The sequence below is a fragment of the Homo sapiens genome, chromosome 17, assembly GCF_000001405.40.
Source record: "Homo sapiens chromosome 17, GRCh38.p14 Primary Assembly".
Lineage (NCBI taxonomy): Eukaryota > Metazoa > Chordata > Mammalia > Primates > Hominidae > Homo > Homo sapiens.
The window spans coordinates 10,579,970-10,597,949 of record NC_000017.11 but is presented as its reverse complement, the minus strand read 5'-3'; the positions used below and the strand labels follow the sequence as shown (position 1 = coordinate 10,597,949).

At 41.7% G+C, this 17,980-nt stretch overlaps 1 long non-coding RNA gene across 1 annotated transcript in view; it reads right to left on the bottom strand.

Annotated features, from left to right (window-relative positions):
* Positions 1-17,980, bottom strand: part of MYHAS (myosin heavy chain gene cluster antisense RNA) — a 242,409-nt gene that overhangs the window by 27,591 nt on the left and 196,838 nt on the right. Inside the window, exons 4-5 of the long non-coding RNA NR_125367.1 lie at positions 9,527-9,561; positions 7,175-7,307 (exon numbers count right to left, since the gene is read on the bottom strand). This is a non-coding gene — a long non-coding RNA (myosin heavy chain gene cluster antisense RNA). The remainder of the gene's footprint in view (positions 1-7,174; positions 7,308-9,526; positions 9,562-17,980) is intronic.

Genomic DNA, 17,980 nt, shown 5'->3' with positions numbered 1-17,980 from the left:
GTGGTCTAGGTTGGAGTGCAATGGCACAATCTCGGCTCACTGCAACCACTGCCTGCCGAGTTCAAGCAATTCTCCCACTTCAGCATCCCAAGTAGCTGGGACTATAGGTGCGTGCCACCACACTTGGCTAATTTCTGTATTTTTTGGTAGAGACAGGGTTTCACCATGTTGGCCAGGCTGATCTGGAACTCCTGACCTCAAGTGATCTGCCCGCCTCAATCTCCCAAAGTCTTGGGATTATGGGTGGTATAAGTGTTTCTTTAGCAGGGAGGCCAAGGAGGGAATTGCCTGGTCCTGGGATATACATATGTGTAATCTGTAATTCAACTGACAAATTCTCTCTAAGGTTGTTATAGTGGTGGTGGTTTACCCCTCCACTAGTCGTATATAAAATGTTTTCCTGTCTCCTACTGTCACACTGGATATTATCGATCATTTCAAGTTTTGCCAGTCTGAAAGATTAAAAAGTGTATCTCATTGTTACTTTTTTTTTTTTTTGAGACAGAGTCTCACTCTGTCGCCTAAGATGGAGTACAGTGGCAAGACCTCAGCTCACTGCAACCTCCACCTCCCAGGTTCAAGCGATTCTCCTGCCTCAGCCTCCTGAGTAGCTGGGATTACAGGCATGCACCACCATGCCTGGCTAATTTTTTTTTTTTTTTTTTTTTTGAGATGGAGTCTCCCTCTGTTGCCCAGGCTGGAGTGCAGTGGTGCTATCTCAGCTCACTGCAAGCTCTGCCTCCCAGGTTCAAACCATTCTCCTGCCTCAGCCTCCCAAGTAGCTGAGACTACAGGAGCCCGCCACCATGCCTGGCTAATTTTTTGTATTTTTAGTAGAGATGGGGTTTCACCATGTTGGTCAGGCTGGTCTCGAACTCCCGACCTCAGGTGATCCACATGCCTCGGCCTCCCAAAGTGCTGGGATTACAGGCATGAGCCACCGCACTGGCCCTCATTGTTACTTTCCATTGTATTTCCCTAAAAGTGGTTGAACATCTTTGCATATGTTTATTGGCTATTTGTTTTTCCTTTTCAATGAATTGCCTGTTCTGAGAGCAGTGGTTCTCAAACCTTACTGTACAACAAAATCATCCAGAGAGTTTAAGATAGAGTTTCTGGGCCCCACCTTCAGGGTTTCTGATTCAGTGAGTCTTGGGTGAAGTGCATGAGTTTTCATTTCTATTATGTTCCCAAGTGATACTAATGCTGGTGGTCCAAGAACCAGACTTAAAAACCACTGAACTAAAGAAACCACTTGATCCGTGTACCTCTCTGTGGTTTTAGCTCAGTGGTTCTCAACCCTGGTTGCACATTAGAATCACCTGGAAAGCTTTATAATGGTACTGGTACCTGAGTCCCACCCAAAACTAATTATGTCCAATGCCCTTCCCGTCCATAGTTTGTTTGTTTGTTTGTTTGTTTTTGAGATGGAGTCTCACTCTGTCACCCAGGCTGGAGTGCAATAGCACAATCTCGGCTCACTGCAACCTCTGCCTCCCGGATCCAAGTGATTCTCCTGCCTCAGCCTCCCAAGTAGCTAGGATTATAGGCATCCACCACCATGCCCGGCTAATTTTGTATTTTTAGTAGAGACAGGATTTCACCATGTGGCCAGGCTGGTCTCGAACTCCTGACCTCCGGTAATCCCCCTGCCTCAGCCTTCCAAAGCCTTCCATAGTTTTTTAAGCTCCCCAGGTGGAACCAATGTTCAGCTAGGACTGAGAACTATCACTAGCTGATACTAGTTGCCTTGAAGGAGGGCAAAGTTCTTCGTTCTGTTTCCTCCTCCCTTGCAGCATATCATAGATGTACAATGCTTGGCTGGGGCCATCTCAAAACATTCTTGCCCTGTATTTTACCCAGAGGTGTAATCCTGTGAATTTACAGCAAATAACTTATATTTGTTCAAAATGTTTATTATGTGTTCTGTTTGGGGACAACCCAACATGATAGGCCTTTAGACCTGGCCTCTTATCCCGATTCTGCAATTACCAGCTGCATAACACATATGCTAGTGACTAAACTTCCATTTGTTCACCTATAAAATGGAATTCATTAAAGCTACCTGATAGGCTCATGTAAATAAAATGAGGTATACTAGGTGCTACAGACAGTGTGTAGCCCAGCAGGAATTCAACAAATCGACACTTGGATCCCTTCCCATTTTGTGACTCGTTTGAGATAAAAATCTGGTTTCTGGATCGCCTCCTCACAAATGGCACAATTCTACTTTCGCTCATTTTGAAGAGCAATTGCATGTCTTTTTCAGGTCTCCAACCAACATCTTCATACTACTCTTAAAACTTAATTACCTAGGCAGCTTCACTTTTACCTAACTGGACAGGAATACACTTAGAAAGACAGGCTGCAGGCTGGGCATGATGGGCTCATACATGTAATCCCAGCACTTTGGGAGGCCAAAGCGGGCAGATCACAAGGTCAGGAGTTCGAGACCAGCCTGGCCAATATGGGGAAACCCTGTCTCTACTAAAAATACAAAAATTAGCCAGGTGTGGTGGTGGGCACCGGTAGTCCCAGCTACTCAGGAGGCTGAGGCAGGAGAATCGCTTGAACCCAGGAGGCGGAGATTGCAGTGAGCTGAGATTGTGCCACTGCACTCCAGCCTGGGCAACAGAGTGAGACTCCATCTCCAAAAAAAAACTGTGGTATGGAATGATAAAGGATAATTAATCAACATTATTGAGTTTCTATTACATGCAAGGCTCTGAAGGAGTTCCAAGAAGGACACCAATCCCATCCTCAATAACTTGTAATGAATTTAGGGAGACTCAAAACTTAAACACAACCAACAAAGTCAGTTGGCTACAATGGTAAGTTATAACAAACTCTAATGAGTTCCAGCAAGCCGAAGAGAAAGGTCCCTTAGAGTGGGATGGTCAGGAAAATATTTAAAGATTTTGAAGAAAAAGCAGAATGTTGCTAGGTAGAGAGAAGAAAGGTGTTTCTGTTGAGACATGTGAAGTAATCAACACCAAAGTAACTGAGTTACTGAGTACTTTGCAGGGCAAGGGGTAATCCAGAGGGATAACCAGATACACTCATGAAGCGGGTGGTGAGAAGCAGAGCTGAGCAGACAGAGCATGAGAACAGCTTGTGGAAGGTCTAGAAGACCAGGGAGGGCATTTGGGTGTCATTTGATACATTGGATTTTTGATAGGCGTTACTTTGTTTTCCTGAGATTAAAGACAAACATGATTAAATTGTTTTTTTTTCATTTTATTATTTGCATTTGTTTTTTAAGTTTAATTTTTTGATGGCTACACTTGTGTAGCCCAAAACAAAAAAGGAATTATAGTAAAGAGTCCCCTCCCACCCCGTCCCTCAGCCACCTAATTCTGTTTTTTGGAGTCACTGGTGTTACCAGCTTTTTATATATCCTTCAAGTGGGCTTTCCCACATGAATACAGTCAATTATCATTATTTGCAGTAGTTCTATAAAATTACTGTGGATGCTGAATTAGTGAATACAGAGCCATTGCTCCTAGGGGAAATACAGGGTTCGGTTCCTGTGAGCCTCTGGTCACATTTTCATCACCTGACCAATACATAACTTTGTTTCATGTGTGTTTCTATTTAAAGACACCTGATTATTTAAAGACAGTTATATATTGTTTATTTATTAACATTGAACTCGTGGCCAATAGCACTGTAACCCATGCCTGAATGTAGCTTGTCTAACATATGTATTTCCTCCACAAGACACATCACAGCCTTCTTGCACTTAGGGACACTGGGCAGAGCTTCAGCACTACACTTGGGAGCCATTTGTAAGTCACCAACAAAATGCACAAAAATGCAAAAAAAAAAAAAAAAAGTAGTACTAAATAGACCACAAAAAGGACACGTGTTTATACCATGAGAGCCAAAACAAGAAGGCCAAATGCCACCTTGTTTGACCTAAGCTGAGAACATGCAGGTTTGTTCACTCAAATTCTTCTCCATCTTGCACATGTCCTCAGATGATCACAGAAGTGTGCAAGTATTGATTTGGAGGTTATGAATAAATTCTGGCAACTAGATGAATTCACAAATATGAAATCCTCAAAGGATGAGGATCAACTCTATATGCCAGTCATTTGAAAGAGATCATTTGTCCCCAGTTTCACATAATGATGAAGGTTATGATTAAGAAAGGTGGATGATAAGCATGATGAGGGTGAAGTGACATGGGTAGGAGCACACCCCACCTTTGGAGCACAGAGCTCTGGAAAGGAGGACAATGACATTGGTTCTGCTGTTGGGTCACCAGGAAGAGTGACTGTATTGCCAGGATGGGAGGCAGGGGCCATGATAGGCACTGCCTAGGGCAGAAATTCTCAACTTGGGGGCAATTCCACCCCCCTGCCCCTCCAGGGGACATTCTGCAATGTCTGTAGATATGTTTGATTGTCACATCTCAGGGGAAGGGGGTGCCACTGAGAGGAAAGGCCAGGGATGCTACTAACATCCTACAACGCACAGGTCCACCTCCTACAACTTGTCAATAGTATCAAAGTTGAGAAGCCCTGGAAGAGGCAGAGTAAACAAAGTAGTTTTGATCTTCCTCTTCCAGGGCTTCTTGTTCAACATGCGTTTAAAATATATTGAAATATATTTCAATTGTTACTTCTAGTCAATTTGCTGAGAGGTTATTATTCATGTAACTCAGGACTTATAGTTCAGGGTTTGACATATGAATGGCAATCAAAACACACGTACACAGGAATTAACTTTCCGGATTCACACTTTCTGTTGCACTTTCTGCATTTCACTTTGCACTGCTGACTCAATAGATTTCCTTATTTTATCACCATGTCCTCAAAACTGTCACTAACAATGATGCTGAAAGAAGTTGACATGAGTTCATTTAGCGCAATCTGAAACTTCACATGCATGCTACTGATCCCACCTCTAGACCAGCAGAAGTAAGAGATAAGACTGTGGTTTTTTTTTCCCACACTGGTATTTACCTTAGGACAGCATCAAATGTCTAAGTGATAAAGATACCACAACTGATTACTCACTTAAAAGGATGCATTAATAGTGCGTACATAAGAAACAATATGTTAGGAGATAAAACCATTCTAGAAAACACTATTCTTATTTTCTTATGAGAAATTCCCAGAGTTTTAAAAATAATTTTCTCTGCCTTAAATGTGAATTAAGTGAAAATTTAACTATGAATCTTGGACATCGGACTAGGAAGCATGCTATATTGTGATATGAATCACCTGGGGATCTTGTTAAATGCAGATTTTGATTTAGTAGCCTGTGGCATGGCCCAAAATTCTGCATTTCTAATAAACTCCCAGCTGGTGCTGATGCTGCTGGCCCATGGACCTCTGAGTACCACCCGATCGTAGAGGATTCTAAGTAGCACTTTGTCAGAATTTGTCACTGTTTTATAGTCACAGAGTTATAGTCTCTGGTATTTATAAATCCCTTCCATTCCCTCATTTTTTTCTTTATGTGATGAGATAGAAATCTTGAGCCTTTGCTCCTTTGAGGATCTAGAAAAAAGAAACATTTATATGAGCTGAAAACGAATAGAGGATGTTTATAGATAATAATCATTAGCTACTTTTTATTTTTATTTGTTTTGAGACAGAGTCTCACTCTGTCACCCAGGCTGGAGTGCAGTGTTACGATCTCAGCTCACTGTAACCTCCATCTCCCAGGTTCAAGCAATTCTCCTGCCTCACCCTCCTGGGTAGCTGGGATTACAGGTGCCCACCACCACTCCCGGCCAATTTTTGTATTTTTAACTAGAGACAAGGTTTTACCATGTTGGCCAGGCTGGTCTCAAACCCCTGACCTCAGGTGAGCTGCTCACCTCAGCCTCCCAAAGTGCGGGATTACAGGCGTGAGCCACTGCACCCAGCCCATTAGGTACCTATTTTGACTTGAAAAATATTCCTTGTTCAAAATAAATGTCAAAAATTTGATGTAGTGAAAAACTCACTGGAGCAGGAATTAGTAGAAACAGGTACCATTCTATGTCTCTGGGTCACCTTGGAGAGTTGGGTAGCCTCTGTAGGTCCCAGTGTGAAGCGTATGAGGTCCTTCTACATTCTGAAAGACCTCAGCTGTAAGGGGAGAAAAACTTGGAAAGGATAGCAGGAAGGGGCACACAGGACTCTTTGAGGGCAAATACCTTTGCTGGGTGTTTCTTAAACTAGCTGGAGGATACCACGTGTTTATGTTATTATGATTTAAACAACACATATATTCTATATATGTTCTTTGGCATGTATGAATAGTTCATAATACCAACACTTATTTCAAAAGTCAATTGGTGGGCTGGGCACGGTGGCTCACGCCTGTAATCTCAGCACTTTGGGAGGCCAAGGCAGGTGGATCACCTGAGGTCAGGCATTCGAGGCCAGCCTGGCCAACATGGCAAAACCCCATCTCTACTGAAAATACAAAAATTAGCCGGGCGTGGTGGCAGGCACCTGTAATCCCAGCTACTTGGGAGGCTGAGGCAGGAGAATCGCTTGAACTTGGGAGGTGGACGTTGCAGTGAGCTGAGATTGTGCCACTGCACTCCAGCCTGGGGCAGCAAGAGCGAAACTCCATCTCAATAAATAAATAAATAAATAAATGTCAATTGGTGATTCTGTTTTTAGGTTAATGTCTTATTTAATCTGTAAATAGGTCCAGTTGAAATTTCCTATAGAATGTTGATATTTGCCAAACATGTACCTCAGGACATAAGCCTCCGAAGGGGCACTGAAATATCTGTATAAATATATATGTGAGGCCAGGTGCAGTGGCTCATGCCTGTAATCCCAGCACTTTGGGAGGCCGAGGCAGGCAGATCACGAGGTCAGGAGGCTGAGACCATCCTGGCTAACACGGTGAAACCCCGCCTCTACTAAAAATACAAAAATTAGCCGAGCGTGGTGGCGGGCACCTGCAGTCCCAGCTACTCGGGAGGCTGAGGCAGGAGAATGGTGTGAACCCGGGAGGCGGAGCTTGCAGTGAGCCTAGATCCTGCCACTGCACTCCAGCCTGGAAAATAGAGTGAGACTCCATTTCAAAAAAAACAAAAAAACAAAAATATATATATATATGAAAGATATTAGACATTGCAATGTAGCTAATTATCTGCCTATAAATGTAGAATGCAAATCACAATTGAGAGAGATTTGGAATGGAGAACTTCATAGACCTGCAAGGCAGTCCAGCCCTGCCTTAGGGGTCGTGGCTTCAGTGGGGTCCCAATGTAGGCAGAGATTGCATAAATGAGTCCGATGCACAGAATTTTGGGGAGCTTTTCTTACAAAACGACATCTGTTGGCACCCTGGAAACAAGAAATGGGTGTTTCAAGTACACATTTAAGGAGTAAACTTTGACACAGTTTTATACAGGTTATGACCAAGTTCTTATTTCATGTTCCATTCTCAATTACATCCTTTCCCATCACCATAACCACCAGCAAAACAAATAGTAGGGATATTGGAAAAGAAAAGGGCAGTGAGTTTGTAAAACAACCTATGCTCCCTGGTTTGGAAGTGCCTGGTTTTGGATTCTTTTGTTGTTTTTGTTTGAGACAGGGTCTCACTCTGTCACCCAGGCTGGAGTGCAGTGGTGCAACCACAGCTCACTGCAGCCTCAACCTCCTGGGCTCAAGCGATCCTCTCGCCTCAGCCTCCCAAGTAGCTGGGATCACAGGTGCGTGCCACCACACCTGGCTAATTTTTTTGTATTTTTCATAGAGACAGAGTTTCACCACGTTGCTCAAGCTTGAACCCAAACTTCTGGGTTCAAGCAATTCTCCTGCCTCGGCCTCTCAGAGTGCTGCAATTACAGGGGTGAGTCACTGCACCCAGCCCCTCATCTTATATGATGATTCTTCTTCTTGAATTCTTAGCATCTTGTTACATTTGGCTCCTGCCTTTGGGCAAAGAAAAATTCTCTAGATGAACCTGATGGCCCTAGATCTCCCTTCTCCAGTACACAGCATTCAGCAAATAGCATAATTCAACTAATGTGAAGAATTTCAACTCTCGCTCCCCAGTGACAATGGGAGCCTACTATCAGAGAGAGCCCTGAGTGTCGGCATGATGAAAGCACTATCTAAGGGACTAGCAAGAAGAGAACTAGAGAGAACACTGACAAAGTCGAGCTTGGAATGTTAGCAGAACTCCGACCTCCGTCCCTTAAACTGGGAATCCAGAATAGTTCATTGCAATTCCGCTGGAGAATTCCCCATTGATGCTTCTTGCGACAGCAGGTTTTGCTCAGTGAGTAGCTAGAAAAGGCCCACTTTGTACATCATTATGTCAATCATGCTCAGGGTACTCATGCTCAAATAGATATTACGGAAAACTTCTTAGTTCCTAAACAGGTGCTGAATGTCTTAGTACAGCTGCTTATAGTTAAAACTAAGGGTGGTAGTGGCAGAAGAAGAGGATAAATGTTGATAACATGATAATTTTAAGAAGCTGAATAGAGGCCGGGCACCGTGGCTCATGTCTGTGATCCCAGCACTTTGGGAGGCTGAGGCGGGTGGATCACAAGGTCAGGAGATGGTGGCCATCCTGGCTAACACAGTGAAACCCCGTCTCTACTAAAGATACACAAAATTAGCCGGGCATGGTGGTGGCGCCTGTAGTCCCAGCTACTCGGGAGGCTGAGGCAGGAGAATGGCTTGAACCCGGGAGGTGGAGGTTGCAGTGAGCCGAGATCGCACCACTGCACTCCAGCCTGGCGACAGCGCAAGATTCCATCTCAAAATAAATAAATAAATAAATAAATAAGTTGGATAGAAATGAAAAGAATTAGTTTTATATAATTATAAAGGAATCACAAACCACTGGAAAGTGATTTATCCTCTCCTACCAGGTTTAGATGAAAAAGATCCACTTTTCCCTTTGAGTTTCACGTCATAAAAGAATTGACCAATCCAATCGATTTGAAAACTTATGTCCACACAAAAACCTGCACGTGAATGTTGATAACAGCTTTAGGAAATCACTAAAAACTGAAAGCGGTCAAGATATCCCTTAGTAATTAAATGGATAAACAAAGTGTGGTACATGCATACAATGGAGCATTATTGAGTGATAAAAATAAATGAGCTATTGTGTCATGGAAAAAGCATGGAGGAACATTAAATGCATATTGCAAGCGAAAGAAACCAGTCTAAAAAGGATACATACCATATAATTTGAATTATATGACATTCTATAAGAGCCAAAAGTATAGAAAGATTAAAAAAATCAGTGGCTGCCAGAGGCTCAGGAAGAAGGAGTAGAATGTATAGGTGAATGAGGGGATTTTCAGACCAGTGAAACTGTTTGTCTGATACTGTAATGGTAAATAAATGAAATTATGTATTTGTCACAACCCACAGAACTTATAGCACAAAGAATGAACCTTAATATATGCAGACTTTAAGAATGATTTAGGAGGTCAAGGGATCCCAGTAAGGAATGCAGACTATGATAAGAGAATGTAACTATATGACAAATTTATGAAACAATCTTACTGAAGGAGATGGGGAGAAAAGGTGCTGACCTCAGTAGCTCTGGACATAAATGGCATCTGTAAACCTAAAAGAAAAAGGAACTGCATATGAGCACTGTACTCTACTCGATTGTTTCCCAGGGAGGTCCAGGGTAATAATTCTGATACTGCTATGCATGTATATTGGGATTTGAACAACTAAGTAAGTGGAAGGCCAACTATGGAGCCAGGTTTCTCACCCTTGAAGTGGAAGTTTACAGATAAGCGAGGGGAGGAGGCTAGAATGGTCCATGTGGTAATGGATTATAAAGTTCATCACTATGAACTCATGTTGAGCTTAATATAGAGATTGTTATGTACAGACATGTGTATACACATAGGTTTGTATGCACACTTTTATTTCTTTGCTCTGTCAGCTGAAAAGGCCTAAAAGAAATGATACTCCAGTAGCAATGAGCATGCGTAGAGCCCAGGTATTGCCTTCTAAAGCCATTATCCAATAAAGGGATAATGTTTCCTTGGAGAAACAGCTGAATTAATGACTGGGAAGGGAAATATACAAGATGAGCTTGGAGCATCTCGTAGTGCCAGAAAGTAAGAAAGTACTCAAACAAATGAATAAACAAAGAACCTACACACACAATAATGGGGATATGTCAAAGGAGCACAGGAGCTAAATGAAAGAGCCTCTAGGCTGGGCACGGTGGCTCATGCCTGTAATCCCAGCACTCTGGGAGTCCAAGGCAGGTGGATCACCTGAGGTCAGGCGTTCAAGACCAGCCTGGCCAACATGGTGAAGCCCATGTCTACTAAAAATACAAAAATTAGCTGGGTATGGTGGCGGGCACCTGTAATCCCAGCTACTCGGGAGGCAAGGCTGGGGAATGGCTTGAACCCAGGAGGCAGAGTTTGTAGTGAACTGAGATTGCACCACTGCACTCCAGCCTGGGCGACAGAGCCAGATTCCATCTCAAAAAAAATAAGAAAAAAAAGAGCCTCCAGTGGCTAAATATGCAACAATATGAGCAAAAAAAAAAAAAAAAAAGCATTGGATTATAACCAAAAGTATAAAATAAATACTCATGAATCTATACTGATATAAATACATGACTGAATAAATTAATAAATGGCGGAGAAGAGGCAATTCCCTATGCAGGAGAATTGCAAAGAATTTATGTAGGTATTCTGCCCTCAAGGAGGGGGAGCATAACTCCTGACAAAGAGTGTGGGCTGCCCATAGTGACTTCCTTCTGAAGAGTACAGTATGGAAAAGGTGGAAAAGAAGCAACTTTAGAGTGGAAAACTTGGCACCTACCTCAGCCAGGTGATCAAAGGTAACATTAACAGTCACAAATCATGTGGATGAAAATGGCACTTTACCTCTGTGATCTTTGTCCCCAAGCCCCAAAACATGGGACCTGAGAAAAACATCAGAGAATAGAGAAGCATCCTGTCAAATACCATCGCAGTACTCCTCAAAACTGTCAAGGTTGTCAAAAGCAAGGAAAGTCTAAGAAACTGCCAAGGCCAGGAGATGCCTAAGGAAAGATGACAACTAAGTCTAATGTGGCCTTCTCATGAGATCCTAGAAGAGAAAATGAGTATCAGGTAAAAACGAAGGAAATAAGAATAAACTAGGAACTTCAGTTAATAATAATGTATCAATATTGGTTTAGGCATTGCAACAAATGAATGATTCTCATATAAGATGTTAACAATAAGGGAAACTAGCCAGGCACAGTGGCTCACGCCTGTAATCCCAGCTCTTTGGTGTGGTGGCTCACACCTGTAATCTCAGCAGTTTGGGAGGCTGAGACAGGCAGATCCCTTGAGCTCAGGAGGTCGAGACCAGCCTGTACAACATGGCAAAACCCCGTTTCTACAAACAATACAAGGCATGGTGGTGTGCACCTGTGGTCCTCAGCAGCCTGAGGCGGGAGGATTGCTTGAGCCCAGGAGTTGAGGCTGTAGTGAGCTGTGACCGTGCCACTCAACTCCAGCCTGGGTGATAGAGATAAACTAGATGCAGGGTATATGGGAATTCTCTGTACTATCTTCTGTTTTTCTTACAATCTAAAACTTTTAAAGAATACATTCTATTAAAAAATAAAATGTGTTAGATTTGAAAGTCTTGAGCCAGGCGCTCATGCCTATAATTCCAGCACTTTGGGAGGCTGAGGCGGGTGGATCACTTGAGGTCAGGAGTTTGAGACCAGCCTGGCCAACATGGTGAAACACCTTCTCTACTGAAAAATACAAAAATTAGTCAGGCATGGTGGCAGATGCCTGTAATCCCAGCTACGTGGGAGGCTGAGGCAAGAGAAATGCTTAAACCGGGAGGCGGAGGTTGCAGTGAGCCGAGGTTGTGCCATTGCCCTCCAGCCTGGGCAACAGAGCGACTCTGTCTCAAAAAAAAAAAAAAAGTCTTAAAAAGTAGGGGTGGAGGTGTTGAGGGGTAGAAAAAAACAATTGTTTCCATAGAATAATTGACAAATAAGGCTTTGGCTCCATTTATATGAGAAAGTCCAAATTTCCAATACATTTCTTCATATTCTTCCTTTAGTCTATTATGAGGGCATAAAGATGGAAGCAGGTTCTAGCTAATGTGGCTAATCTCCTCCAGTGCTGTTCCCCCCAAATAAGAAGGCTGGAGAGTACCAAGACTACGGTCCCTACAGACCTATAGCTGTCAATCAGCAGCTACATACTCTTCTAAGTTTCTACGTCAGACTGTAGCAGAGTCAGATGAGTTTCTGTGGCTACAACAGTCTGCCAAGAGTTGGCTTATCTACCGCAACGAGGGTGCTGAGGGCGTGTTCTTGTAAATCAGCACCCAGCGTCTCAGCAAGTTTCGTGACGATGTCAAGTTTCCATATTTTCAGCAGTTCTTTTCAAACAAATCCTTAAATGCTCTCACAAACATGCACAGGAAAATGAGCAGCGGTTTTATTTTCCGTAATGTGTATCTTTAACCGACAGGTGTAGTTATATTTATTAGGCTTTATAATTTCTTCTATAAAGAACTTGGAAGTGTGAGGCTATAAAATTTCAAAATCCTGTAAGAGTATATCCCCCCGCCGGTGCTTTATTTAAATGTACAGAATAAAAAATAAAAATAACCATGAGGGCAAAGAAATAAAACAGCAAAGGGGAATGAAATTGGGGTTTCCAATTAATGGACACACAGATAACAATTAGGGTAATTTTAGGAATTTTAAATCTCTTACATTATTTATTAAGGAAAAGGACATTTTAAGCATTACCCTCTTTTCACTAAGTTTATATCTTTTCACTCCCTGACATGAAGAAGTGTAAATCCATCATGTTCATTGCAAATATATGCTTTGGAAACATTTCATCTCATTTAAGGAGTGAACTTTGCTGAGCTAAAGAGTTTGTGTTAAAACTAACAAGAAATCAACCAAAATGTTTTCAAATGGGATAGCTGGCAATTTGTCTCATATTCCCTTTTCAAGCACAGTCAAAGCGTCCTGCAACCATGAGCATCATTCGTGAAATGCTCTGAACAGTGACTGGTATTTGCAGATGGCTATTTAGTGTCTCTTTCCCCATCTCCACCTGTACAGCCCTAGAGAATGTTATCAAGATTTTGGATTAAGCCTTCTCACTACTAACCAAAATCATCTACTCTCCCAAGGCAGAGCTGTGTAAAATACTCATACCCCCTGCTATCACAACTGGGAAAGACCAAGATCCACTTACGAAATGCCTTAGGAAATACACAGTACCTTTTGGGCATTTATAGTAGACATCTTTAAACTCATTTTTAAAACTAATTCATTATTCCTTTCTTCACTTAAATGTGCTAGGTACTTCACCTACATGTGCTAGATACTGTTTTAAATGCAGAGGGGAATAAAAGATAAAAAATATAGGCCCTCATGGGGATAAGAACACATATGGATGAACATATATAGCTCTATCTCAAACTTTTAAATATTGATTATTAGCTCATTGCATGGGTATACATAATGTTTTAAATCCGTCTCCCATTGATGAGTATACAGGATTTTTTCACTTTTTTTTCTCTTATTGCAACCATTGCTACAATAAATCTTGTGTTTATATATTGGTACACCTATGCAACTAAGTGTACAAGCTAAATTTCTACAAGTAGAACTCTTGCCCAAATGATTTGTGCATTTTGAGTGTTGATAGATATTCCCAAGTTGCCCTCTTAATGATGTTGCCTCAGTCTATACCTCCACCAAAATGATTTGAGAATCCCTTGCCACAGGCATTTTTAAAAGGTAGACGAATGGGCCACAGAGGACTAGAGCTGTACCAGGGCAGGAAGATAATCTAATCCAACCCCCTCAGCAAACGAAAATCCTATTTCTGGGGGAGGAATCACCCTGTTTACTTCAAGGTTGCTATGTGACAAATGTGTCCCCAGCTCAAATTTACAAGTTCCAGATGAAGGTGGCTTGTCTGTCAACACAAGCCATCTTTCACCAGGCTGATTGTGAACCTCCCGAGGGCAATACTCTACTTAGCACTCTGTGCTCAGGACGTGCCTGGGTAGGAGAAGGAACATTGTGAAGTCCCAGAAGAATAAGTACAATTTTCTTTCATTATTAGCAGATGCTTTTCATTTCTTAAACTGAGGTATTTCTTCTCCATCCGAACCTACTTCATTCTTTCAGGAAGATAACATTAGGGATGTTACACCTGGGATATTTTAAATCTTTGGCCAAGACCCTTATATTTGGATAAATTGATGAAGAAGAAATCTGCACAAGGCATGTTTATAATTATTACCAGTTGATAGCAAAAATACACAATATCAATATCTTATGTACTATTTCTGGAACACTTGACAAATGAAAATATCCCTTTAAGCTGATCAAACAAGTGGACTCACTTTGGTTTGATGCAGGGTCATCCCTTCGGTTCTTTGACTTAGACTTAAGTGGATGAGACAGAATTCCTTAATTTTTCTTAGGAGAGTAAATGTTTATTCACAAGTCAGGAAACCAAGCTCTTGCTTTTCCCGAGGGTCAGTACACTGACAGATGATGCTCTGTATCCAATTACCTTTCGAGACATGCTAGCTTTCCATGGGAGCTATTTGATGGCCAGTACTCTACAGACAGGTAGGACACTGGTGGGGTTACAGGAAACTAATTTCACTGTTTTTTTTTCTCCCTTTTCTATTGACCCTGCTGCCCTTGGCCTCACTTTCCTTCCATCCCTGCATACAACAGTATCATTAGATCCTCTCTCATATTGCAAGAGCCACTTCTCATCTTATTTCACTTGAATTTCCTCCTGCCTGCCTCCTCTTCCTTCACTTTTCACTCTCCAAGCCTTCCAGGCCCACCACCAGTGTCCTCACATCTAAAATCTGCCCTGGTCCTCTCTTGCCACTGGTCTCCTCTAGCTTCTCCAGCCTGCAGCCTTAACTCCTCCCTCTATAATTTACTTGGCCTCCAATCACCATTCACTCTCATAGTTTTCCACTAACAGAAGCACATTTGTAACTTCTCTTGACCTGGGCATGGCAGATAACTTACCATTCTGAACTTTCAAATGACTGTCTTTCTATTTCATAGACTGTAGGTATAATCCCACCTTTCCTGTGGGTACAAACTTCCCCTTGAAATGCTGCATTTCCACTAATGCGTTTTGACAGAGAGTGTCAAAGTGTCAAGGACCATCTGTTACATTTCAATTAACCCGAATGGAAATTTAAATGAAGGCAAAAAGTAATAAATCTAAAGTGTTGAGAATAAACCACATTTGGAAGGGGAAAATGCTATATTTAAACCATCTTTGATAGAAAAACACAATTTTTTGAAAACCAAAGAGCAAGATCGTCTCAATATTCAAGTTTCTCTGTTATATACGATTCAATCGTTTCTTATCAAAAGTTAAAAGCTTAGGATGGCACAGGTATTTCTGCTGGCATAGGTGTTTCTTGGGAAGTATAAATTGTACCCACAACAATCAAATCACAATCAGAGAGTTACTTAAAAGTTGACATTCACAAATGGGTAGCCACTATGGAAAACAATATGAAGCTTTCTCAAAAAATTAAAAAGAGAACTATTACATGATCTAGCAATCCCAGTTCTGGGTATTTACCCAAAAGAACTGAAATCAAGATCTCAAAGAGATAATTGTACTCCAGTGCTCACCACAGCATTACTGATAATAACAAGAAAGTGGAAACAACCTAAATGTCCATTGGTGAATGAATGGACAAAGAAAAATGTGGTAACTACATAAAATGGAATATTATTCAGCCTTAAAGAAGAAAATCCAGTCATAGGTAACAACATGGATAAACCTGGAGGACATTATCCTAAGCGAAAGAAGCCAGTCTCAGAAGGACAAATACTACATGATCTCACTTCTACGTAGAATCAAATTAGTCAAACACATAGAAGCAGAGAGTAGAACAGTGGCTGCCAAGGGCTAAAGGGAAGGGGCAATGGGGAGTTGCTGTTCAATGGATATAAAGATTTAGTTACACAAAATGAGTAAGTTCTAGAGATCTGCTACACAACACCATGCCTAAGGTTAACAATACTGTATTTTATGCTTAAAAATTTAAGAGGGCAGGTTGAGCGTGGTGGCTCACATCTGTAATCCTAGCACTTTGGGAGGCCAAGGTGGGCAGATCATTTGAGGTCAGGAGTTCCAGACCAGCCTGACCAACATGGTGAAACTCTGTCTCTACTAAAAATAAAAACAAAATTAAAAAAAATTAGCTGGGCATGGTGGCGCACACCTGTAATCCCAGCTACTCGGGAGGCTGAGACATGAGAATCGCTTGAACCTGGGAGGCAGAGATTGCAGTGAGCTGAGATTGTGCCACTGCACTCCAGCCTGGGTTACAGAGTGAGACTCTGTCTCAAAAATAAAGAAAAAATAATTTAAGAGGGCAGATTTCATGTTAAATGCTCTTACCACAATTTTTTTTAAAGTTGACATTCACCAGACTTTTTTGGCTACTGGTGATATTCAACCAAACAAACGTCAAAGTTGGCTACACTTCTGATAAATATGTGTGATCTGAATCGATGGTGTGCAGTTATGACTGAATGAACACACACATAAACACACGGCCTGGTCCCGGGAGCCAATGTATGGTTGGAGGAAAGGGAACAGGAAAGTGTTGAATCGCCTGGGAGCAGGCAAGCCAATGGCAGCCACTCTCCCAGTTCTCAGTCCCAGCAGAGGCCAAGCACAGGCAAGGGAGTCAGGGATATTGGAGGAGGGTCCCCTCCACCTCAGCCTGGCCATCTGGCCCCTGGTTTGATGAACAACTTCAGCAAAAGCAGCTCCCATGACCTCTCAGCTTCCTATCTTTTTTCTACAACTTTCCCTCCCCAGCCTTTTCCTTCCTATTCCAGTCCTCAACTGCTTCTTCTATCCTACCTCAGAAAAACAAGTAACTATAAAAACTATAAAACAAGTAACTATAAAATAGCTACCCACTGATGTTTTAAAACACTATTTCCAAATTCACATGCCCTACTCCCATCTCAAGATCCATTTACATAAATATACATATGTTTATTGGATTGAATTATATATATATATTTATGTAGATTGATAGATGTCAGATCTGCACTGATATTCTAATAAAACAGAAACAAGTTAGAATAACAAAAACAAATATATAAATGTTCTATAAAAATATAGGGCCAGTTGGTCGGGTGCGGTGGCTCACGCCTGTAATCCCAGCACTTTGGGAGGCCGAGGTGGGTGGATTACCTGAGGTCAGGAGTTTGAGACCAGCCTGGCCAACACGGTGAGACCCCGTCTCTACTAAAAATACAATAAATTAGCCGGGCATGGTGGCACATGCCTGTAGTCCCAGCTACTCGGGAGGCTGAGGCAGGGGAATTGCTTGAGCCCAGGAGGCAGAGGTTGCAGTGAGCCGAGATTGCACCACTGCACTCCAGCCTGGCTGACAGAGCAAGACTCTGTCTCAAAAAAAAAAAAAAAAAAAAAATAGGGGCCACTGACTAAATACTACTGACATTATTATTTGTATAAAATGAAGTAAGAAGAACAGTTTCTTCTATAATAATCTTTACAAAGTAAAACACCTTAAAAAGCTATTAGCAAATAACCATCACTTGCAAAGTATGTATTTAGTATCCTGAATTAAATAGTAAGGTACAGTCTCCACTTCTTTTTTTGTTTTGTTTGTTTGTTGTTTTTTGCTATTTAATATTTTGCTTCTTTGCTCACTCATTGCTGCTTAATAAAGATCCATATCCTCTACATCTCATCAATTCACCCTTCCATTTGACAGATTCTGCTGATGTACCAAAAGGAGAAAATTATTGTTATGGGCAATTCAGATTTTTGCTTAAAGATGTGTTTTTTGGGAGCAAAGTATTTCTGAAATCAGTCTTCCAGCAGTGAAATACTGACATAACCAAGTTAACAGTTGACTCTAAAATTGCCATGATATTATTTCAAAGGCAGACTACATGCTTTTGGTAGCCTTATCCCTAAACTGGA